The sequence below is a fragment of the Homo sapiens genome, chromosome 3 (assembly GCF_000001405.40).
Source record: "Homo sapiens chromosome 3, GRCh38.p14 Primary Assembly".
NCBI lineage: Eukaryota > Metazoa > Chordata > Mammalia > Primates > Hominidae > Homo > Homo sapiens.
The window spans coordinates 139,072,612-139,097,576 of record NC_000003.12 but is presented as its reverse complement, the minus strand read 5'-3'; the positions used below and the strand labels follow the sequence as shown (position 1 = coordinate 139,097,576).

Here is a 24,965-nt window from a genome sequence, read left to right as displayed (position 1 = left end):
GGAGAATGTTGATGTTCATGAATTGGAAATCTCAATATTGTTAATAGAGCAATTCTCCCCAAATGGACCTATAGATTCAATAAATACCAATCAAAATCCCAACACCTTTCTTTAAAGGATTTGCCAAGTTGATTCTAAAATTTATATGGAAAACCAAATGACCTAGAATAGCCAAACATTCTGAAAAAGAACAAAGTTGGAGGCCTTACACTCCCTGATTTCAGGACTTCTAGGAAGCTACAGTAATCAAGGTAGAATGGCATTGGCATAGAGAAATACAAATCAACAGAACAGAATGGAAAGTCAAGAGACTGATGCATACGCATATGGGCAATTGATTTCTGACAAAGATGCCAAGATAATTGGACGGAGAAAAATAACTTTTCAGCAAATGGTGCTGGAGAGATCATAAAGCTATGAAGAGCAGGGATCAGAATGCAAATCAGTCCAGCTCCAGATCCCACAAACTAGAAACTATCAAACAAGAAATGAAACTAGAGAAAAAGGTAGAGAAAAGCATAGGTGGCAGTTGATTCCTCTATGCCACCCTTGTCCCTCATGACAGGGGATGGAAGAGCATCTCATCTCTGAGTCTCTGAGGAAGAGGGTCTCTCCACAAACACCAAACTTGTGCCATGAGAAGTGATCAACACAGCAGGAAAGGTGTGCTTGTTCTGAAAATGCTGTCTCAGCAGATTAGGCTGCCTCCAAAGGAGGAGTGTGGGTGGCTCAACTGCCCCCTGCTGTAGAGCTCCTGGAAAGAATTTGGGCCCCAGGCACCATGGTGGGGTGGGGAGAGATATGAGGACAGAGAGGAAGAGAAGAGGGAAAAGGCCAGAGAAGGAAAGTGGGCTCCAAAGTGAATTCTACAGAATGAAGTGTTGCTCAGTGCTCGATTCTAGCCCCATCCCCTCATTATATGGGTGCAAAAACTGGGGCCCAGAAAGAGGAAGGTACTTAAGGGAGGATGCACAGCCAAGAGGCAGACCTAGGATTCCAATTTAATGTTTTTCTCTGCAAATGCAGCTAACTCTGGTAAGTGGTGAATCACAGGGACAGACAGCAACTGTGATTGCCATAATGGAGGGTGGTTGTTCTAACATTCCAACAGAGGCTCCTGTCTCCCCTTTCCACAGAGCCCCAGGTGAAAGAGCCTTCTACCTTCTGCCTAGTGACCTGCCTTACTAGGGAGCTTGCTTAGGAGCTTGGGGCAATCCCCTGGGCCTATACTCATCCCAGGACTCTTTGGACCCAGGCTGTGCCCCTCTGTGTCCAGGCCACAGCCCTACCACCATCTCCTATGCTAACTGAGCCAGTGAGAAAGCAGAGGCACCCCCTGCCCTGATTCTGCAGTCTCAGACTGTCCAGGGAGGCTGCCTCACCAAATCTATGGTCGTCCCTCCAGGCTCCAACCACAGATGGTTTCCTCTTTGCTGGCCCACCTGAGGGAGTCCTGCCAGCCTTGGGAATCCCGGGAGGGAAAGCTTAGTGCTGGCACAGACTGGCTCAAGTCAGGCTTTCGTTTCCCAAGGTTTTGACCTTTTCACATCTGGCTGACCAGTAAATCCAGAGGAGCCACTGCAGGCTGGACATGTTGGGGGGCTGGATCTGTGGCAAACACGACAAGAAGAAAACAATCTCCCTCAACCCCCACCTCATCTGGGCTGCCCACCATTTTGGCCCTAACAGACCCTGACCATGCTCTACCCTAAGGCTGCCTCCTCTCTCAGTCTCTCCCACTAGCCTGCAAGCTCCCAAGGGCAAGAACCTCTGGGATTCATCCCCAATCTCCTAGAAGCCAGCTAGTTATAGGGATTCAGGAGATGCTTACCAAATTATAATTACATGAAAGAATCTGCATTCTGAACTCTCTTTTTGCAAAGGTTATGTAATTTTTTGGTTGATGTTGGTGAGTTGATTCATCTTCCATTCTCCTTAGTTTCATGATCTAAACTTCCTTTAACAGAAAAACACAAACCTTGCCTCAGCCAAGCTAAGTGGTAAAGGAGGCTGCTGTACTTTGGCCAGGCCAGGATCACTCACTGGAGGACCTGAGATTCCCAAAGCTGGAACTCTAGAGGTGGCTGCCAATGGGGAGGGGAAGGAGGGAAGAATTCACGCAGCTGGGGGCAGAGGTGGTGAATAAAGAAAGTGAGGGAAGCCAGGAAGCAGGGGTATCTGGAGCTGGGACAGCTGCTCCCCAACCCACCTGACCCAACCCTTCATCCAACCCAACAGCATGTTCTGAACATTCTACCTTGTGAACATCTCTGGAATCCTCCACCTCTCTCCTTTACCTAGTCCAGTCACTATTTTCTTTCCAGTGAACAACTGTGCCCACTCTTTCCAATGCCAACTCTGTACAGGAGCCAGACAAATCTTTTAAGAACAGCTCTGATCACATACTCCCTGCTTTAAATCCTTCAATAGTTTTCCACATACCCTGAAAAAATCCATACTCACTTCCTTTGCTAACACGTTTGCACATGATTGGGCTCCTGCCCATCTCTATCCATTCGTCTTGCATACCCCTTTTCATGCCCCACAAAACACCAAGTTCTTTCTGTCTTCAGGACTTTTGGACCACTCCTACTCAAGGAACCTCAACTGAATCCTGCTCATCTTTCTCACCTTAGCTGGAAGATCTGTCCCCAGCATCTAAAGTATATCCCCCCCGTCTGTTTCATTCACAGCTCTCATCAGCATTTGTAGTGATGCTATTTATGTTTGTTTACTCATTGGTTAATGGTCTCCCTCATAAGAAGGTAAGCTTCATGAGGACAGGAGCTGTTTCTCGTCCTCACCACCACATCCTTGCACAGACACAGTGCCTCCCACACAACAAATGGTGTTGAGGAAATGGAGACAGAGGCTCTCCCACCATCCTGTCAGAAATTCCCAGAGGGCTGGACCTCCCCCCCGCCAGAACCTTGGAGCTCCAGGGAAGCCCTAGCTCCAGGGAAGCCATAGAGAGATACAGACACTGTGGGCTACAAGGCAGGTGAGCATCACCCAACAGAAATGACAGTCGAGGGCTGGAAAGATAAATATTCCAAGAGAGTAAGGAGAAGTCCTGGAAGGCAGCCTCAGGACAGGACCCCAACCTAGCTTATCCCAAACTGTTCCACCATCTACAAGCCCAAGTTCATGACAGCACCTTGGGCCAGAGGAGTGTGGAGTCAAGATGGAGCATTTCTAATGTTCTCCTACTCTCAGATGGGGCATCTAGTGGTCAATGAGAGCAGAGCCTGGGTAGCCGAAAGAGACAGGTTTCTGGAAAAATGAGTATAATAAGGCTTACCTCACTAGACTGCTATGAGGATTAAATGCTGTAATATATAAAAAGCAGCCAGCACCTTAACCAGCATCCAGTAGATGCCCTTAATTCCCTTCTCCCATTCCCCCACCTCCCAAGGAGAACAACTGGGGGTGTATGCTGCATAATTCCTCTCCTTGCCTCCTCCATGTCTACCCTGAACTGTGGTATCTGGGTGGGAAACAGCTTCAGGCTGCAGATGCTATGACAGCGCTGGTTAAATTGAATTACACTGAAACCAGAGAAGCCTTCAGCTCTCCCAGGGAGTTCAGAAGTGTTCACCCTGAGAGTAACTGCACACTGCACAGGAAAAGGCATTCAAGTTGATAAGAAGTCATTCAGATCACCATCTAATGCAGCTTTTGCCTTTGAAATAAATTCATTCCTTATTAGCACATACTTGGGATTTCCAGGATTGAATTTTATTTCTATTACAGAAAGCCCATTTTTAAGACATTTTTATCATGTTGTCATGGTCCTATGTAATTTCATCTCTCCACAATGTTACTTTCATTCACATGCATAGAGCTATAAGCCCTAGTGAGAAAGGTAAAGAGAAAGAGAGAACAGGAACAATAGTCATTGATCCAACTAGGGTAGAAGCCAGTACCACTACATAACACAGATGTGTCCACATCACTGAGGGTCTGCAGTCACAAAACAGTATTTAGACTTCTCCTGAAAGCAAAGTGAAGTCACTGAAGGCCAACTAAGGATTTGGAATAGGTAACAAATGATAAAATTTTCTTTTTAAAATACTTACTTTGGTTATAATGGAAAAGACAGATGCAACAGAAGGGAAGTAGTTAAGAAACTGTTCAAACATTCATTCAATTTAGATGTGACACCAAAAAAGCTAAGTGAAAAAAGAAAAAATAGGTAAATTGAACATAATGAAAATGTAAAACTTTTGTGCTTCAGAGGGCAGCCTCAAGAATGTGAAAAGACAAACCACAGAATCAAAGAAAATATTCATAAATTATATATCTGATGAGACTTGCATCAAGAATACAAAAACAACTCTTACAACTCAACAATAAAAAGAGAATCCAATTTAAAAGTTGGCAAAGGACTCGAATAGACATTTATTTTAAGAAGATATACAAATAATCAATAAACACATGAAAAGATGTTCAATATTATTAGTCATTAGGAGAATGTAAATCGAAACCACAATGAGATTCTACTCCACATCCACTAATATGTCTATAATCATAAAGACAGACAATAAGTATTAGTGCAGATATGGAGAAATTGCTGGTGGGAACGTAAAATGATGCAGCCACTTTGAAAAATAGTTTGGCAGGTCCTCATCGAGTTAAGCATAGAGTCACCACATAACCCAGCAATTCCACTCCATTCCACCTAAGAGAACTGAAAACATGCCGATACAAAAACCTGTCCATGAATGTTCAGAGCAGCATTATTCATGATAGCCAAAAAGTGGCAACAACCCAAATGTGCAACAGCTGATGAGGAGAGAAACAAAATGTGGTATATCCATACAAGGGAATATTATTCAGCCATAAAAAGGAAGAATTCTGACACATGCTACAACATGGATGAACCTTGAAAATACCACGTCAAACAAAAGAGGCTACTCACAAAAGATCACATATTGTATGATTCCATTTATATGAAATGTCCAAAATAGGCACATTCATAGAAACAGAATGTAGACTGGTGGTTGCCCAGGGCTAGGGAGAGGGGAGAATGGGGAGTAACTACTAATACTGCTAACAGGGATGGGGTTTTGGGGGAGGGGGATTAAAATATTCTGGATTAGGTAGGGTAATTGATGCATGATGTTGTGAATATACTAAAAATCATTGAGCGATACACTTTAGAAGAGTGAACTTTATGGTGTATCAGTTATATCTCAATGAAGCTATTATTTGAAAAATAAAAGGCATTCATTAGTAAAGTTTCCAGGCGTTGTTCTAGGCAGTGAGGAAACAGTGAACAAAACCAACACAAATCCCTGCCCTTAAGGAACTGACATTCTAGTGGAATAATCCTAGTGAGAGATAATTCCATCAAGAGATCATCTTAGTGAGGGTCTTAGTAAGTTAATGTCACTGAAGAGAGAAGCAGATGGATTCGAGAGAGGCTCTGATGCAACAATCAACATGGCTTGCTGACCAACAGCAACAGGAGAGATGCCTGGGATCACCTTCCCCTAGAGAGCTCACAATAATTCTTATTGTTACTCTCTGTGGCCTCCAGAGTCACTGTTCCCCACTTTAAAAGCACTAGAAAATTAGACAAAGTGGTCTTTGTAAGCCAGAGATTTCAGGAATCCCTGAAAAATAAAAGACAAGGGGAACTTACTTGGTTTGAAAGAGAAAATCACAGCCAAAACTCATGCACAAAAGAACCTGAAGCATAAAAACAGGCAAGACCCCAAAGCTACTCAAAGCTCAGAGGTAGTGGATTCCAGAAGCAGGAAAGTGTTGGAACAAAGTTCTCCCACATTTCTGCAAATCTTGTAAAAAGAGGCAATGATAGCTTTTCTTCCAGACTATCCTTTCAAAGATGTTTGAATAGAGATAGCCATAGAAGATAGAGATAGTATCTCCCTCCAGGAGCAGGGGACACGATTAGTTTCTGTCTAGTACAATAAAAATAATGTCACCCTCAAGGGCAAATTTTGGGTAAGTTTGCCTGCAGCCCGTTATAAAAGATTGGAGTTTCCTAAGCCTGAGGTCCTTCAGCTTTGACAACAACTCAGTGCATATGCATCCACATGAGCCAGCTCTGTGTCACTCCTGTGGGACTTGAGGGTGTTGGGAAGAAGCAAGGGGAATTGACATGACAAACAACTTCATGCTGCCTGATGAACCATGAGTAGTGAAATCCTTTGTCTCCAACCCAGAGGTCTCATGTCTTCTGCCAACATCTATGAAACTGTGGCAGACTAACTTGTTAGTTTGCAAGTAAGGTAAAATTTCAGATCTTAACAGTTCCTAACAAACAGGCCTTGAGACAACCTGCTAGGTAACTGGTCAGCGAAACCACAGGAAGAGCAGCCAGATGGGATCATCCTCTCCTTTGACCCTTACTTGCTAAGACCAGGTAATGATATATAGCCCAAGTGGGGTCAGTAAGGGAGACCACAGAATGAGGGTAGTACATGGAGTGCCTGAACACACCCTGAAGAACAGGGTGCTCCCACAGCCAAAAGACAAACTAGTGGCACACTCTGTGAAAAGTACTCTTCCCCACATAATCACAGAGTGTAGTTAACAAATTCAGCATCCACAGGCTAATAAACTCTCAGATACAAAAAATCAGCCCATGAAAGAGAAGTGCACATACAAACACACACATGAACACCCAAAGAAGGAGACTTAATACAGCAGAGTAAGTTTTTACAATAAGGGTAATCACTATGTACATAAAAGTGCAAGAGAAAATCATAGCCATAAAAAATTAAAGTTCTTGGGATCTTACAATGGAATCATAAATCAGAGCTGAATAAAAGGCTAGACACAGCTAAAAGCAAATCAAGTAATTGGAAGACTGACTCAAGGAATTCTCCATGAGCACAACACAAAACAACAAAGAAATGGAAATTTTTTTAAAAAGGATTAGGAGAAACAGAATTCCAAGAGATAAAATATTACCCAAAAAAGTGGGTCTCAGAAACAAAGATTAGAGAAGATAGAAGGAGAGAATACACTCGCATAAATAATCAGAAAAAAGTTCCCAAGGTTGAAGAAAGACATAAAGTCTCTGAGTGAAAAGGCCCATTGAGTGCCAAGAAGAATGAAACCAACAAATCCACAGTCCTAGTGAAAGATTTTTAAACACCTCTCAGAAATTAAGAGATAAACTAGACCAAAATTAATTATAAAGAGAGGTGCCATCCATACAGTAGCCTATTTAAACATGACTGTTTAAATTTAAATTTAAAATAATTAAAATTAAATATAATTTAAAACTTAGGTCCTCAGTCCCAATGGACACATTTTAAGTGCTTGATAGTCATATGCAGCTAGTAGCTACTTTATTAGATGGTGCAGATACAGAACATTTCCATCATCTCAGAAAGTTCTATTGGATACTACCAAAAGGACTTAAATAACACAATAATAAATTGGTTATAACTGTAAAACACAGAAAATTGCACCCAACAAATAGAAAATACACATTTTCATAAAATACACATGAAACATTGAAATATTGACTACGTATTAGGCCACAAAGGAAATCATACAGTCCATATTCACTAACACAATGCAATAGAATTAAAAATAAAAATTATAATGAGAAGTTTGAAAATATCTGTGTATTAGAAACTATAATTTCTACCTAATTCTTAAGTCAGAGAGAAAATCAAAATAGTTATTATCAACTAGAAATGAAATAGAAGTTACAAACTATAGGGTATAACAAGCAAGGAGCTCAAAAGATTTGTATCCTTAAATGCTTTGTTGGGGTGGTGGTGAGGGGAGTTGAAATTATGCTTTTCTCAGAGACCAATAATGACAAAAAATATGGAAAAATACCCTAATGTTTACGAAATTTAATGAGCAAATGCTGCCAAATTTTCAAAGAAGAGAAAAATCCTAGGTTGTGGAAACCATTTCAGAGCATAGAAAAACGAAATAGATAGCTACAACTCATTTCACAAGGCTAGCATAACTCTTATACCAGGAAGAGCATAAACAAAGAAAGCTATGCCAACCACATTTATGAACGTAAATACAAAATACCTAAAGAAAGTACATGCTAATATCACATGATAAATTTGAACATCCATTCTTGATTTTTTTAAGAAAATAAAAATATTTCTTGACAAACTACCAACTGAAGAAAAATTCCTCAAGTTGATAATCTAACAGAAACCTACAACAATAATCCAAGTTAGGGGAGAAAATTTAGAGACATTCCCTATAGTCAAGGCCTAGCTAGTGGTGAGCCATCTGGAGTAGCCACTACCATCATGCTGGCTGCACCAGGTAGGCGTGCCCGGGGCTGCACACTCCATGGAGCTGGTAGGAGCTGGGAACAAGAAGGAGCCCCACTCCTTCAGAGTTAAGGCAGGAGCTCCCCAGGTGCTGCTGCAGCCACCCAAGCCATGGCTCTGGGTCCAGGCATTCCTGTGCTCTTGGGGCCTAGGAACAGGCAGGAGCCCTACCCTCCCAGGCACAGCTGCAGCCACCCAAACAGAGGCTGCAAACCCAATTCTCCCACTCCACAGAGCAGGCAGGAGACCTGAGCCCCTGGGCACAGCTGCAGCTGCTCAATCCATGGCTGCAGACTCAGGCATCTCTGCATGTGCCTGCTCCCAATACCATGTCTGAAGACCCAGGCATCTCTGCAAGTGCCTGCTCCCACTGCCTGGCTTCTCCCTGCTGTCAGTGCCCACTCCAATCTCAGAGCAAAGTTGGGGCTGAGCCTAGGCACTGCTGCAGCCTAGGTGTGCACACACTTGGAGCAGTGCTGACACACCAGCTCCTTCTTGCCACCTCAGCCCGCTCCAGACTTTGGGCACTGACAAGCATAGGAGGGAAGCCGAGGAGAGTTTGAGGGCATCTCAGCGCTGGCCTGCAGGCACCCCTTGGCACCTACAGCCTGGATGCCATGAACAGCGGCAGAAGGCAGACAGTTCCTGGGTGGAAGGGGGCAGGTCCCCAGTGAGGCTCTCACCTTCAGGTCAGGGAGGGCCTGAAGGCTGGGGGCCAGGCTGCCAGTCCCGTGGACTGGAGTGGGAACTTGTGGTGCCTTTTTTGGGCTTGCCCGTGACCACCCATGGGCCAAATGGCATGAACTTCCTCCCCTCTGAGGCCCATAAAAGCCCAAGCTCAGAGCTGAGCATACATCAGGATGACCAGCTGCAGAGAGGAGCAACCCACTCTAGGGTCTCCTCTCTGCTGAGAGCTGCAGAAATGATGGGATGACCTGCCTGCAGAGAGGAGCTACCCACTCTAGAGCCTCCTCTCTGCTGAGAGCTGCACAGACGATGGGATGACCAGCAGCAGAGAGGAGCTACACTCTCCACTGATAGCTGAACACTTATTGGGATGACTTGCCTAGCAGAGAGGAGCTATCCTCTATGCTAGGAGCTGAATACTCATTGGGACACCCTGGCTGCAGAAAGGAGCTGCTCCCTGTGGGTTTCCCGTGAGCTGTTCTATCGCTTGATAAAGCTCTTCTTTGTCTTGCTCACCCTCCACTTGTCTGCATACCTCATTCTTCCTGGGCACAAGACAAGAACTTGGGACTCACCAAATAAGGCTAAAAGAGCTATAATAAAAACAGGGCTGAGACATACCCCTTGCTCGCTATGTTGTGGGCAAAGAGAAGGAAAGAAGAGCTGTGGTCCTTCAGGGAGCCCAGACTGGGAGCTCCTGGAGCCAGGGCTGTAACTCCCTCTTTGAGGCCCTGCAGTTCCTGGCATCTCCAAGGTGTGAGCCACAGCGCCCAGCCTTTTACCTACTTATTGAGAAAAAAAATTTAAGGTTGATAAGCAAGTGTCGTGGAAGTTATGGAGAAACAGAAACTCATGTACTGCTGGTAGAAATGTGAATGGAATGTCTTTAAAGTGCTATCATATTTTAACGTGAATGCTGACTTTCAGTTTGAACATTCCCTCCTTCTTTTAATGGAAATTATCCCAAAGGCAACAAGAATAGAAAAGGGGGAAAAGCCTCCAAACTCCATTTTCAGTAAAACTAAAAGCCCCCTAAAACTCCAAACCACTAAGTAAGTGCCAAAAGGTGGGAAGATTAGGCAGATGTCACTAAGAATCAGCAAGGTATATCTCTGCAATCCTTTCTTTGCAAAAGCTGGAAAGGAGTCTCTGGACTAAAATTAAGAGCACTTCTGAATTCACATTGGTTCCAAGAAACACGGCAAATTCAGCTAAACAAAGAATCACACAGACAAGTCATATTACTCAGGCAATGAGACAAAGACAAACTTTGCTTTGTAAAAGTTCTACAGCTGCTTATTTTATGGACTAGAATGAAATAAATGTTAAACAAACTCACAAATAAAAGCCTTAATCATAAGAAAAATTCTACCTAACCTGTAACTAAGCCCTGGCCATTCTTCCTCACAAACCTCTCGAAAATAGCTAGTCTAGTAAAGCCTCGTCATCTTCAAAGATGAATAATTTAAAAGGAATCAGCACAGGAACTATTCAAAGATGCTACAAGAAACAAATGAGAAAAACAGATGGCAGACAACAAATATACTTAAGAGAAATATTAATGCAAAGAAGATTAAAATTGTGAAGGAAAATAAATTTGCCATTAATTTAGAAATCTTAATGAAACAATCACCTCTATGCAACAAGAGTACCTAGTAAATGTACTAAGAGTTCAAAGAAGAAATGGTGAGAAAATAAGAGAAGATAAAATTTGAACTGGAAATCAATTAAGGCAAAACTGGAACACAGACGAGAAAGAACAGACATTTTCTAAAACCCTGCAAGGGGCATAGTATGTATATATAAGTCAGAAAATAAATAAAAAGGAAGTATTTTGTTAATTGACAAAACATTACAGATACAGAAGACAAAGAAGATGAACAGTGTATAATTAGAGTCTTTGGAGGACAGAAAAAAACAATGCAACTTAACAAATATTTTAAGATACAATTATAGATAATTTTCGTGACATAAGAAAAATTTTGACTTTACATATTGACCATGTGTTGGGGAAAACAGAGAAAAAATATTTAAAACTAAGCCATTTTCTAGCAAAAATCTCTGGGCTTCAAAATTTAAAGAAAAAAAAAAACCTGGGTAGGAAGGCACAAAGATCAAGTCACTTTTGAGGTGGAAATAATCAGGCCATCTTGAGATTTCTCTACAACATGCAAAGCCAAAAATTTTTTTAAGTTAAAATAAATAAATAAAAATTTAAAAATTAGAGTAATTCCTGTAAAATTTGCAAAGAAAGAAAAGGCAATTCTAAAATTTTACACTGGCCAAACTGATATTCAACTATAAAAGCAACAAAGAGTTTTAGACATGCAAGAATTAAGGAACTATTGCTCCCACTAATACTTCTGGAGATCTGAACCTCAACCAAAATCCCGGCATGGTGTGTGTGTGTATATAAATTTAAAAACTGAATCTAAAATTTATATGGAAATGCAAAGGGCCAAGAATAGACAAGGAACCCTTGAAAAAGGACAAAGCTGAACTTAAACTTTCAGATTTCAAGCTATGTAAAACAATAACAATTAAATGTATGGTTCTGGCAAAGAAGAGACAAATAGCTCAATGTGACAAACTAGGGATTCCAGAAACAAACGCACATATATACAGTTACTTGGTTATGACAAAGATTAGACTACTGAGCAGAGGGGGATGGACAGATTTTCACTCAATGGTACAGGATCAAATAGATATCCATATAAAAATAAATAAATTTTTGCACCCTACCTCACACTAAACACAAAAACCAGTTCCAGATGGATTGCACATATAAAAATAACAGCCAAATCAGTTTAAATTTTAGAATAAAACATTTTAAAATATCTTCATAAACTTGGGATAGACAAGATTTCCTAAAAAAGATACAAAATTGCTAATCATTAACAACTGATAAATTAGAATATATTACCACTGTAAAGTTTTTGTTCATCAAAAAATACCATTAAATAAAATAAAATGCAAATAGCTGAGTGGAAGAGGATATTTTCAATAGATGTGTCCAACAAATAACTCATATCCAAAATATATAAATAACTCCTACAAATTAAAAAGAAAAAGGCAACTGAGTAGAATTTAATGACATAAATGATATAAATAGTATATAACGATTTTTTTTTGAGACAGGGTCTCACCATGTAGCCCAGGCTGGTTTCAAACTCCTGGCCTTAAGCAATCCTCCCAAGGCCTCAGCCTCCTGGCACTTCATAAGAGTTCCTGAAATTAAACACATGTAAGGGTGTGCTGTTTCATTAGTCATCACAGTTACATAAATTAAAACGCAATTAGTTACTACTACTTACCCACCCATGGACCATAATGGCTAAAATGTAAAGGATAAACAATACCATGCATCAGTGACAATGTGAAGCAATTAGAATTCTTACACCCTGTTAGTGAAAATATAAATTGGTACAACTACTTTGGAAAACTGCTTGGCAGTATCTACAAAAGCTGAACATCACACATTCTACAACCCAACAATTGCACTCCTGGGTATACACCCAACAGAAAGGCTTACAAATGTGCCTCAAAAGACATGTACAAAGAAATGTGTAACAGCATTACTTGTAATAGCTCAAAAAGTAAAATGAAAATGTCTACCAACAAAAGAATAAAAAACTGAATTGTGATACAGAGTTACAGTGACAATAGTCCCTCCATGTCCACACCTAGTAGATGCCTAAAACTGTGGATACTACTGAATCCTAAATATACTATGCATGAATTTCTTTTTCCTTCTCAATTTCACAGATAGAAGATTCGTTCTTACTGTAGATCTTGGCAACCTCAGCAGACAATTTTTTCTTTCCTTATTAAGTTGAGAAATTGCATCTTTCACTTAATGGAAGTACTTTCAGCTTCTCTTTGGCATGTCTGAATTACCAGCATCACTATTCTTGCTATTATTAAGTAAAATAAGGGTTACTTGAACACAAGCACTGTGATACTGTAACAGTCTATCTGACAACCTGCTAACCTAGAGAGTTACTAAGTAAGTAATGAGAAGGTAGTATATATAGCATGGATATGCTGGAGAAAGGGAGGATTCATGTCCCAGGCAGGCCAAAGCAGATAGTGTGAGATTTCACCATGCTAATCAGAACTGCATGCAATTTAAAACTTAAGCATTGTTTATTTCAGGCATTTTCCACTTAATATTTTTGAACCACAGTTGACCCTGGTAACTGAAACTGCAGAAAGCAAAACCACAGTTAAGGGAGGACTATTATAATACTAGTCAGCAATGAAAATATATTAACTACTACTTCACCCAACAATGTGGATGACTCCTAAACATATGCTGAGCAAAATAAGCCAGACATAAAAAGAAAATACATACTGAATGATTTCATTTATAAAAAATTCAAAAATAGGCAAAACTAATTATGGTGATAAAAGTCAGTATACTGATTATCTTTAAGGAGGAGTTAGCATCTGTAAAGGGGATTTGGGGTGTTGCTGGTAATGTCATGGTTCTTATTCTGGAGGCTGCTTACATGAGTATGTTCACATTATAAAAATTCATAAGGGACTTCTGGTTTCAGCTTTGATGTTTAGTGCTTGGAAGCTGTCACTTCCATCCTCACAACAACAACAAAAAATGCTGAACAAACTAAAAATCAACAACCTTCTTAGACCCATCAGAGAATTGAGGTCACAGGGCAAACTGCTACCTGAAAAACTGGAGAAACAAGTGAATACAGAGAATCACAGCTTACCAAAAGCAGAAGCTACTAGAGCCAGGAATTGATAGGAACACTTAAATGGGAATTGACAGATTGCCAGAAGCTGAGTGTGGACTACCTTGGGGGTTAAATACTCCCAGGGTCGGGGGTTCAGCTTTGGAGAGGACCACACTTCCCTGAGTTCTATTTAAAGAAGCCCCACCTGGGTGAAAATCTAATGAAAATCCTCTCATGCTCATGGCAGGGGGTGGGGGTAGGGGGCTAACGATCTGAAATATGCCCAGGGGTAAAGTAGCCTTTTAGAAATACTCCCAGGATTGTTCTTCTCTGTTCTCCAGTGACAGCAGCCTGCCCTCAGAGGAAACGATATAACCAGAGCCTAACCAGCATGCGGGAAGGAAAATACCCAACTCCAGTCCTCTCTAGTCTTCCTGTCTCACCTAAGGAAGGAATACAATATCTGAGGCACACTTGTGAATGTCAGAGACCAGGCGCTCACACCCATTAAAAGACTGAGACCTAACCATAGGAGTATTGAATATGTCCCCTCCCCATATAATTCTACCATCTATAACATCAACAGGGTTCCTATCTAATAACAGGAGATTACAGCTGAAAGAACTGCAAAGCTCAGATTCTACTTAAGAAGGAATTTCTAGGGAAACTCAAAAACAGGAAAGACACTAGTGGAATCTGAAGCAACTATAGCAAAGTTGAAGGATATAAGGTTAATATTTTTTAAAAGTCCATAGCTTTCCTATATATCAGCAATGAACAACTGGAATTTGAAATTAAAAACATGATACTCTTTACATTAGCATAAAAAATGAAATATTTAGGTAGAAGCCTAACAAAATACGTACAAGATCTATGAGGAAAACTACAAAACTCTGATGAAAGAAATTGAAGAAGATCTTTTAAAAATAAATAGGTATTCCATGTTCATGGATAGAAAGACACCATTATCAAGGTGTCAGTTCTTCCCAACCTGATCTATAGTTTCAACACAATCCCAATCAAAATCCCAGCAGGTTATTCTATGAATATCAACAAAATGATTTTAAGGTTTATATGCAAAGGCAAAAGACCCAGAATAGCCAACACAATGTGGAAGAAAAACAAAGTCCAAGGAGTAACACTAACTTCAAGGACTTACTATGCAGCTACAGCAATCAAAACAGTGCGGCATTGGTAAAAGAACAGACACATGAATCAATGGAACAGAAAGGAGAGCCCAGAAATAAACCCACATAAATATATTCAACTCATCTTTGACAAAGAAACAAAGAAACAAGAGGAATTCAATGGAGAAAGGACAGTCTTTTCAGCAGATAGTGGTGCAATAACCAGATATCTACAAATAAAAAAAATTGATCTGGAATGATATGGCAGTGCCATGGAGCCTCAGTTGGTCTCATATAGCTAGTCTCTTGCTGTCCCTGCCGGCAGACCACTCTGTCTCCTACAGGGCATGCATGTGCAGGATCAGGTGATATGCGTGATCAGTGGCTGCAGCCTAGAAAGATGGCAGAGCAAGAGCAAAGAAAAAAATTCCCTTTGATTCCAGAATATCTCCTGAAAAAGATGAAGACTTTTCAAGCCCTCAAAGCCATCCAGGCAAAGTAGGCACTTCTGGTAAAGAATGAGCAGAGGAAAGGAAGAAGGCTCAGGTTTAAGCGACTGGAATTCGTCCTACATGATTCCTAGCAGCAGAAATGTGGCAGGGTGCATCTCCTATGACTAGAAGTGAAGCCTCATGCCTTAGAATTGCCAGATAAACTTTTCTTGGCCTCTGTTGTATACATCCAAAGGATTAATGGGGTGAGTTCACTGGTGCAGAGGAACACTGCAAGAGTTCTGAAGATTTTCTGTGGTGTCTGTCAAAGTCATCCCCCAGAGCCTAAAAGTGGAAACTTATGTGACCTGGGGATTTCCAAATCTGAAGTCTGTCCAGGAACTCATTTTGAAACGTGTGCAAGCCAAGGTTAAGAATAAGACCATCCCTCCATCAGACAACACAGTGACTAAGGAGCACCTGGGGAGGTTTGGTGTCATTTGCTTGGAAGACCTCCGTCATGAAATGGCCTTCCCTGGGAAGAATTTCCAAGAGATCTCATGGTTCTTGTGCCCCTTCTACCTCTCAATGGCCCATCATGCTACCAATAATAGAATGGACTTCTTCAAGGATATGGGCTCACCTGGCTATCAGGGTGAACACATCAATCAGCTCATCCTCCAACTGAAATAGACACAGAATTTCTGAAAACACAGTGCATTGGAAGCACATGTTTTTGTTTTTTGAAATTATCAAGTATCTTGAGAGATTATTTTCTGCTCTGTCTTCAAAAACTGGAAGGGAAGGGCTAGACAAAAGATAGTAGGTTGTGTGCATGGCAGTCACCTCTCATCACAGTTCAGTTCCAAGGAAAATTTTCAGTGTTTTCCAAGTTGGCTGTTGCCTCCTCTGAAATCAGCACATGCCATGAAGGAAGGAGTCTTGCTTTGCCTCATCTTCTACCCTAGGGTTTAATGTTGGTGAATAAATAACTCAAGGACCCCTTTCTACAAGGACCCCTAAAACTCCTGCAGCAGTGGACCAAGCCCAGGGGCATACTTACAACTGGGAAGTCCTAGGGCCTTATTTTGAAAAGACTTGAAATACAATTAGGAAGACAAGCACAAAAGCAAGTGTTCACTTCTCTCTGCTGTGAGTCCAAGTTCCAACTTTTCAGTCATGGCTTTGAGAGCTCTCAGACTTGCCTGGCTCTAAGTCTATATGGTGGCTTTTTAATCCTAGCCTGCAACTGGCTTAGTCCTTTTTGCTGGCTCAGGATTTGAGAATGAAGGGTCCCTTCACCAGGAAAACATGCATATACTCAAAATGTTGCTTGCAGTTTTAGGATGTTCATAACCCCTTCTCCTCAGGGACCTTATATAAGGGAGTCCTGCTCTTATCAGGATTGGTCACCCAGGCTTTGATGTTGCTAGCATCTGGTTACCAAGATAGCTTTTTCCCTTCACAGTGGCATGTTGTGTTGCCCTCTGCACCATCTATGATACTGGGAAATGCCCACCATTATTCCCCCTGGGCTTCAGGATGGAATTTTGGTTTCCCTGATGATTATACTTCTCCTTAAAACACAGATCTGGATGGAATGAATCATTTTCTTGGTTTGCATAGATGAAATTAGCTTTATTTGGCTTCCTAGGCCCCAGGCAGGCAGCTTAATTGACCTTCTCCTTGCATATTCTGGACTCCAGAAGCATTGCCCTCTGTCTTGCTGGTAATGATGTAGTAGTCCAGCAACAGAGCTTCCAGGGATTTTAATCCTGAAAAAGGGGTCTGAAACTGCTTGTATTTTTTTGACCAATATCCACCTCTATTAAATGGACCTGCCCTCTATTCCATTCACTTAGTTGCCTCTGCTTGCCATCAGAGCAACTGGTGAGGATGTGCCAAATCTAGATTAAACTTGAAAATATGCTTGACCATTGTGTTTCCTGGTCCTTTCAGATCAGCTTGCTGCAATTTTGATTCATGGAGCCCTCAAATATAGCTGTGAAATTAAGTTAGAGGTATAACAATGCCTTAAAATGTGCCAGGTTATGAGGTAATTAGGTTGGTTGTCTCCAGAGTTAAACTGCCAGGAATAGATGTTACTCTTATACTGTAAAACACTATGAAATCAGATTACTTTCAAATGATGTATCACAAAGTCATGGGATTGGGGGGAAGCAGTTGTGAGTATGGAAACCCAAGGCTTACATCACATCACTGTCTTGGTTTTTTAAGAGACAAGGTCTCACTCCATTGCCTAGGCCAGAGTGCAGGGGCATGATCATATCCCAGCTTGTCTTATACTAAATATGAGAACAATGTTTCCACTCTCGCCTGTAAAATGGAGCTAATATCCTCTAGTCTGTCTGCCTTACTTGGTGGTTAAATGGATTAAGCAAAATAATAGTTTGTAATTTATAATTCTATATAAATAAAAGAGGTTATCATTTTAAAAAATCTATCAAGCCGTGAAAAGACATGGAGGAAACCTAAATGCATATTGCTAAGTAAAAGAAGCCAGTCTGAGGAGGCTACATACTGTATGATTCCAAATAAGTGACACTCTGGAAAAGGCACACTATAAAAACAGTAAAAATATCAATTGTTGCCAAGGGGAAGGGAAAGGAGAGAGAGATGAACAGTTGGAGCACAGTGGATTTTTAGAGCAATGAAACTATTCCAAACAATACTGTAATGGTAAATATATGACATTGTGCATTTGTCAAAACCCATAGAACTGCACAACAAAGAGTGAACCCTAATGTAAAAAATAAACTTCAGTTAATAATCTATCAATAATGGTTCATCAATTGTAACAAGTGTACCACATTAAAGCAAGATGTTCATAACAGGGGAAACTCTGAAGGGAGGGTAGACACAGGAACTCTGTACTATCTGCATAATCATTCTATAAACCTATAATATTCCTAAAAAATTAATTAAGTCAACTAATATCAAAAAATTACTTATATATGTAAAAGTAAAATCAAAACAGATGTCAGATTATAATTTAAAATTTTTCAACTAAAGTTGGGAAGAAGAGGGGTAAAAAAAATGGCCAGTAGTAGAAGTACATTAATTTCCTTTTCTTTAATAGCTGGTGAAAAAAAGCAGTTAAAGTAAACAAATCAATAAATAAAGTTATAAATATATCTAAAAGCACTAAGATAAATGTCAATTATGACAATACAACCTGCTAGAAATCACACCTATATAATAGGAGAGGAAGAAGAGGATGTGGGGAGGAAAAAAGAATAATTTCATCATTGCTCATAGTGGAAAATGAATAGATACTATCTACAGAAATAGATGACTAAAACTATTATATAAAATAATAACTATAACCAGAACAAAATTACAAACTTTTTTAATTCTTAAAATACTCCAATGAATAAAGAAAAATAAGCAGATCACATAGTGAAATTTTTTTAACATAACATGTCAGAACTAGGTCCAAATATATTGTTAGCAACCTAAGTAAACAGGCTAAACTCACCTATTTAAAACAAAAAGACGTTCAGATTGGATCCTAAACCCAAATGCAACTCTTATTTTATATGTAAGAGTCACCTCAAATCAAAATAATTCAAAAATGCTAAAAAATAAAATAAGCAATGGTATACCAAGTGGAAAAAAAACAAAAAACAAGATATCAATGTATTGTACAACCAACTTTAATTCACAGCAAAAGTATTAAATTAAAAAAAGAAGCCTCCTTCACAATGTAGAAAAGTATAGTTCACAATGATGATTTAACCAGTACAAATATCTATGCATCGAAAAATACACTATCAATGTTAATAAAATAAAACCTTCAAGAGAAACAGAAACACACTAGAAGCTGAAGATTTTATTCATTTTTACACTTTGTTTTCATGATAGATCACGAAAAATAATTAAGAATATAAAAGACATTAAAAACATAATGAAGAAAATCTAATTAATATATATCAAACAACATATCTGAAAATAGATAATATTCCTTCTTTTCACACATCCTTGTCGATTCTCAAAAACTGAACAAATGTTGGGCCTAAAAATATTTTTTAAGTGCCAAAATCTAACAATAAAACAAAATACAATCTGCCACAATGCATTTAAACTAGAAATTAATGACATGATCAGAAAATAAAAACCCCTACTCCCATGAGGATACATGTAAGAACTTTCAAGAGACAACATAAGCAGTGCTCAGAGGAAAATTCACAACCTTAAATATTTATCTTAATAAATAAGCAAGAATAAAAATAAATAATGAAGCATCAAACTCAAGAAGTTAAAATTAACTGAAACATAGAAGGGCAGGTGCGGTGGCTCACACCTATAATCCCAGCACTTTGGGAGGCCAAGGCGGGTGGATCACAAGGTCAGGAGATTGAGACCATCCTGGCTAACACAGTGAAACCCTGTCTCTACTAAAAATACAAAAAATTAGCTGGGCGTGGTGGTGGGCGCCTGTAGTCCCAGCTACTCAGGAGGCTGAGGCAGGAGAATGGCGTGAACCCAGGAGGCGGAGCTTGTAGTGAGCCAAAATCGCACCACTGCACTCCAGCCTGGGCAACAGAGCAAGACTCTGTCTCAAAATTAAAAAAAAGAAAGAAACATAGAAAATAGTAGTATAATAAATCTAAAAGCTGACTGAAAAAAATAAAAGCTCTCAATGGCACTTATGTATCAGGCACTGCAATAGATGTTTCATGAATATTAATTTTTTAATTTTATCTGTTATTGATACATAATAGATGTAAATATTTAGGGGATACATGTGATAATTTAAAAATGGATATAATTTGTAAAGATCAAATCAGTGTAATTGTAATATCCATTATGTTAAATATTTGTCTTTATGCTTTAAACATTCAAATTATTCTCTTCTAGCTACTTTGAAATATATGATCGATTATTGTAAGCTATAGTCACCATACTGATCTGTCAAACACTAGGTCTGATTTCTTCTATCAAACTATGTACATACATACCCATTACTCAACCTCTCTTCATCCCCTCCTTCTCTACACCCTTCCCAGCCTCTAGTAACTGCCAATCTACTCTCTATCATAAAAGAATCACTTTTTAAAAGTCCCACATATGAGTTAGAAGATGTGATATTTGTTTTTCTCTGTCTGGCTTACTTCACTTAACGTAATAACCATCCATAGTCCCATTCCATATTGCTACAAATGATAGGATTTCATTATTTTTATGGCTGAATAATATTCCCCTCTGTATACATACTACATTGTCTTCATCCATTCCTCCATTGATGAGCACTGCTATAGATGCTTTGTGAATATTAATTATTTTAATTTTATTTTTACTCCATATTTTGGCTATTATGAATAGTGCTGCAATAAACATAGGAGTGCAAATATCTCCAATATATTTATTTCCTTTCTTTTGGATATATACCCAGTAGTGGAACTGCTGGATCATATAGTAGTTCTTAGTTTTTTGAGAAACCTCCATACAGTTTTCCATAGTGGCTGCATCAATATATATTCAGAAAAACTGTGTATGAGGGTCCCCATTATTCAAATACTCAACAACATTTCTTATTCCCTGTTTTTTTATAAAAACCATTTTAACTGGGGTGAGGTGATATCTCATTGTGATTTTGATTTGCATTACCCTGATGATTAATGATGTTGAACATTTTTCATAAACTCATTGGCCATTGGTATGTCTTCTTTTGAGAAATGCCTATTCATGTTCTTTGCCTACTTTTTAATGAGTTTTTTTTAACTGATGAGTTGTTTGAGTTCCTTGTATATTCTGAATATTTGTCCCTTGTCAGATGAATAGTTTGCAATATTTTCTACCATTCAATGGGTTGTCTCTTCACTCTATTGGTTGTTTCCTTTGCTGTGCAAAAGCTTTTTAGTTTCATAGAGTGCCACTGTCTATTTTTGTTTTTGTCACCTGTTCTCTTGAGGCCTTGGCCATAAGATCTTTGCCTAGATCAATATCCTAAAATATTTTCCCTGTTTTCTTCTAGTAGTTTTACAGTTTCAGATCTTACAATTGAGTATTTAATCTATCTTGAGTTGATGTTTTATATGATGAAATATAGGGGTCCAGTTTCATTCTTCTGCAAATAAATGTCAGATTTTCCCAGGACCATTTTTTGAAGAAAGTGTCCTCTCCTCAGTGTATGTTCTTGGTTGCCTTTGTCAAAAATCCATTAGCTGTAAATATGTTAATTTATTTCTGGGTTCTCTATTCTGTTCCATTGGTCTATGTGTCTGTCTTTATACCTATACAATGCTATTTTGGTTACTATAGACTTGTATGTATTTATAAGTTAGGTAGTGTGATGCCTCCAACTTTGTTCTTTTTGCTCAGGATTGCTTTGGCTATTCAAGATATTTTTTGGTTCTATACAAATTTTAGGATTTTTTTCTATTTCTGTGAAAAATGACATTGGTATTTTGATAGGGAACACATTGAATCTGTAGATTGCTTTGGGCAGTATGGTCATTTTAGCAATATCAATTCTTCTAATCCATGAGCATGGAATGTCTTTCCATTTGCTTCTGTCCTCTTCAATTTCTTTCATCAACTTTTTATAGTTTTCCTAGTAGAGGTCTTTCACCTCTTGCTGAGAATGGGGTGTTAAAGTCCCCCACCGTGATTGTATTGTAGTCTATCTTTCTCTTTAGATCCAATACTATTTGCTTTATGAATCTGGGTGCTCCAGTGTTAGGTGCATAGATATCTGGAATTTTCACTTCCTCCTGCTGGATTGATCCCTTTATCATTATATAATACCTCTTTTGTCCTTTTTTAATGTTCTTAACTTGAAGCCTGTTTCATCTGATACAAGTATAGCGACTCCTACTTGCTGTTGGTTTCTGTTTGCATGGAATATCTTTTTTTTTTTTTTTTTTAGACGGAGTTTCACTCTTGTTGCCCAGGCTGGAGTACAATGGCACAATCTCAGCTCACTGCAACCTCCGCCTCCCAGATTCAAGCAATTCTCCTGCCTCAGCCTCCTGAGCTGGGATTACAGGCATGCACCACCACACCTGGCTAATTTTGTATTTTTAGTAGAGACAGGGTTCCTCTATATTGAGGCTGGTCTCGAACTCCCAACCTCAGGTGATCTGCCCACCTCAGCCTCCCAAAGTGCTGGGATTACAGGCATGAGCCACCGCACCTGGCTGAAATATCTTTTTGAATGCCTTTACTGTTGTCTATATGTGTCTTTATAGGTAAGATGGGTTTCTTGTAGGCAGCATATAGTTGGGTCATGGGTTTGGTCTTGTTTTTGTTTTCATTTGTCCTGCCATTCAGCCACTCTATACCTTTTAAGTAGAAAGTTTAATCCATTTACATTCAAAGTTATTGATATATGATGACCTACTCCTGTCATTTTACCAATTGACAATTTGGTTGTTTCATATATCCTTTGTCCTTTTCTTTCTGTCTTAATGGTTTATCATTGTGGTTTGGTGGTTTCCTATATGAGTAAATTTGAATTCTTTCTCTTCCTTATTTGTATGATTGTTCCACCAGCTGACTGTATCCTTTCATGTGTTTTCATGGTGGTAATATCATCTTTTCACTTCCAGGTGTAGAAACCGCTTAAGCATTTCTTCTATGACCAGTCTAATGGTGATAAATTCCCTCATCTGTTGCTTGTCTAGGAAAGACTTTATTTCTCCTTCATTTATGAATAATAACTTTGCTGAGTGTAAGTTTCTCGGCTGACAGGTTTTTTTTCTTTCATCATTTTGAATATATCATTTCATTCTCTTCTGGCCTATAAGGTTTCTACTGAGATCTGCTGTTAGTCTGGTATGAGTTCCTTTATAAGTAAATAAATATTTTTCTCTTGCTAATTCTAGGATTATCGCTTTTACTTTTGATAGTTTGACTATGAAGTGCCATGGAGAACACCTTTTTGAATTGCACCTATTTGGATATCGTTGAGCTTCCTGTATCTGGATGTCTAAATCTCTTGCTAGACTTGGTACATTTTCAACTATTTTCTCATTATATAGGTTTTTCTAACACTTTCATCTACTCTTGACCTTTTGGGATTCCAAAAGTCAAACATTTGGTTGCTTTATGTGTTCCATTCAGTCTGGGCACATAAAAATGTGTGGCAGCTTGGCTGCTGGTGGCAATAGAGTCACTGCTGGTTGCCCACACCATGGCCCTGGCAGCAGCAGCCATCTGTGACAGTGGCTGCAGGTAGAGGATGTCGGTGGGGCTCCAGGAATATGGAGATGCAGGCTTTGTTGGACCCCAGGGCAGGGTGCAGTTTGTTCAGGCCTGGGCTCTCAAAATGGCACCTTGCTGTAGCTGCCTAAAGCTCAGTGTTGTATGAGAAGCATGAGTTTCTTCTCGAGAGCAGTGCTGTTGTAGATCTCCAGGCAGCTCCCTATATCAATTTCAGGACCCATGATGATCAAAGGGCTTTCCTGTGGCTAGGATTGCAGGAGTCTGCAGCGAGGACATGGGGATCTCTCATTTACTCTTTCCTCATATTGAGTAGCCTCTCTGGGCTCTCAGCCAATCCTGGTTAGGCAGGCTGCCTCACTTCCCTCCTGTTTGCTGCTTTAGATGCTTCCTGTCACTTATCTGTTGGATTCTAGCAATTTTTTTAAAATGATCTATACAAAGTGTGGTTATCTACTCACTATTTTGTTTCTTTGTGGAGAAGGTGAGTACAAGTCCCCTCTAGTCAGCTATCTTCAAGCTCCTCCCTTCAGTCAAATGTTAATTTTCACTTGTCATTGTACTATGAGGAAATTTCCCCCCTCCCTCTTTATCCATTCATATATCCATCCATTATCAATATGTACTCATGTATTCTTATTTTGTTCACTAAATTTATGACTCATTATTTTGATGCTAAATTTTTTCCAGATTTGGCTGATGGGAGCCTCTTCAAGCTGTTCCTTGTGTCTTTTTGACAGATCCCCATCATTTTTGGAGGGGAACACTTCCTTACTTTCTAACACAAGATGTTCTAAGCTCATCTTATATCTTAACTGCCCCAGTTTTACAAGTAGCCATTCCTCTGAGGAGTCTGTTTCTTAGTGAAGATAACTGTGAACCAAATATGGTACCTTTAATTGCCATGAACCACTGCCTTCTCATTTAACTTCTTCCTTTTCATATTTGTCTCCTTTCTTCCATAGTGACAATCCTGGTTTCTAGCAATATTAATATATTTACCAATAGGTTCAATCATACAGCACACAAAATACTTTTGGAATTGATATACTTGCACCATTTCAACAAACGTTCTAAGAAGGGTCAAGATTTATTTACATTTTTCCCTACTGACTCAGGGTCTATAGTTACAATACAGTGCTTAAAATTTATTTGGATTAGTACTTCTGATCCCTTCTGTGTGGTTATTCTATTTATTAGAAATACAGTTATAGTCACCTGTTTTTATTTATATTCAGTTTTAGCCCTTTTTCCTCTGATGCTTGTTGATTTTTTTCTTGAATTTTTAAACATCAAGAATGAATTTTGACTTTTGACAAATACATTTTCTGGGTCTGTGAGGAGGACTATATAATTTTTTTCATTAATCTATTAATATGATTTCACAATATTGATTTCACCTCCTATTCTTGGAATAATCCCATTTGGTCATGGTGCATTATTTTTTCATGTGCAATAGAATTGTTTGCCAATATTTTATTTAGGATTTTGAGTTCATACTGAACTCTGTCTCCAATACTTTTAATGAAATTTTTGTCAAGTTTTTGT

General features: G+C 39.3%; 1 pseudogene, besides 1 other annotated feature; it reads left to right on the top strand.

Annotated features, from left to right (window-relative positions):
- Positions 7,920-8,644: an enhancer, noted in NCBI's record as "H3K4me1 hESC enhancer chr3:138807775-138808499 (GRCh37/hg19 assembly coordinates)". NCBI's record gives its function as "activates a minimal SCP1, AML or CMV promoter by ChIP-STARR-seq in naive H9 embryonic stem cells {active_cell/tissue: H9 hESC(naive)}" and the evidence as "EXISTENCE:reporter gene assay evidence [ECO:0000049][PMID:30033119]".
- RPL7L1P7 (RPL7L1 pseudogene 7) lies at positions 15,150-16,086 on the top strand (annotated as a pseudogene).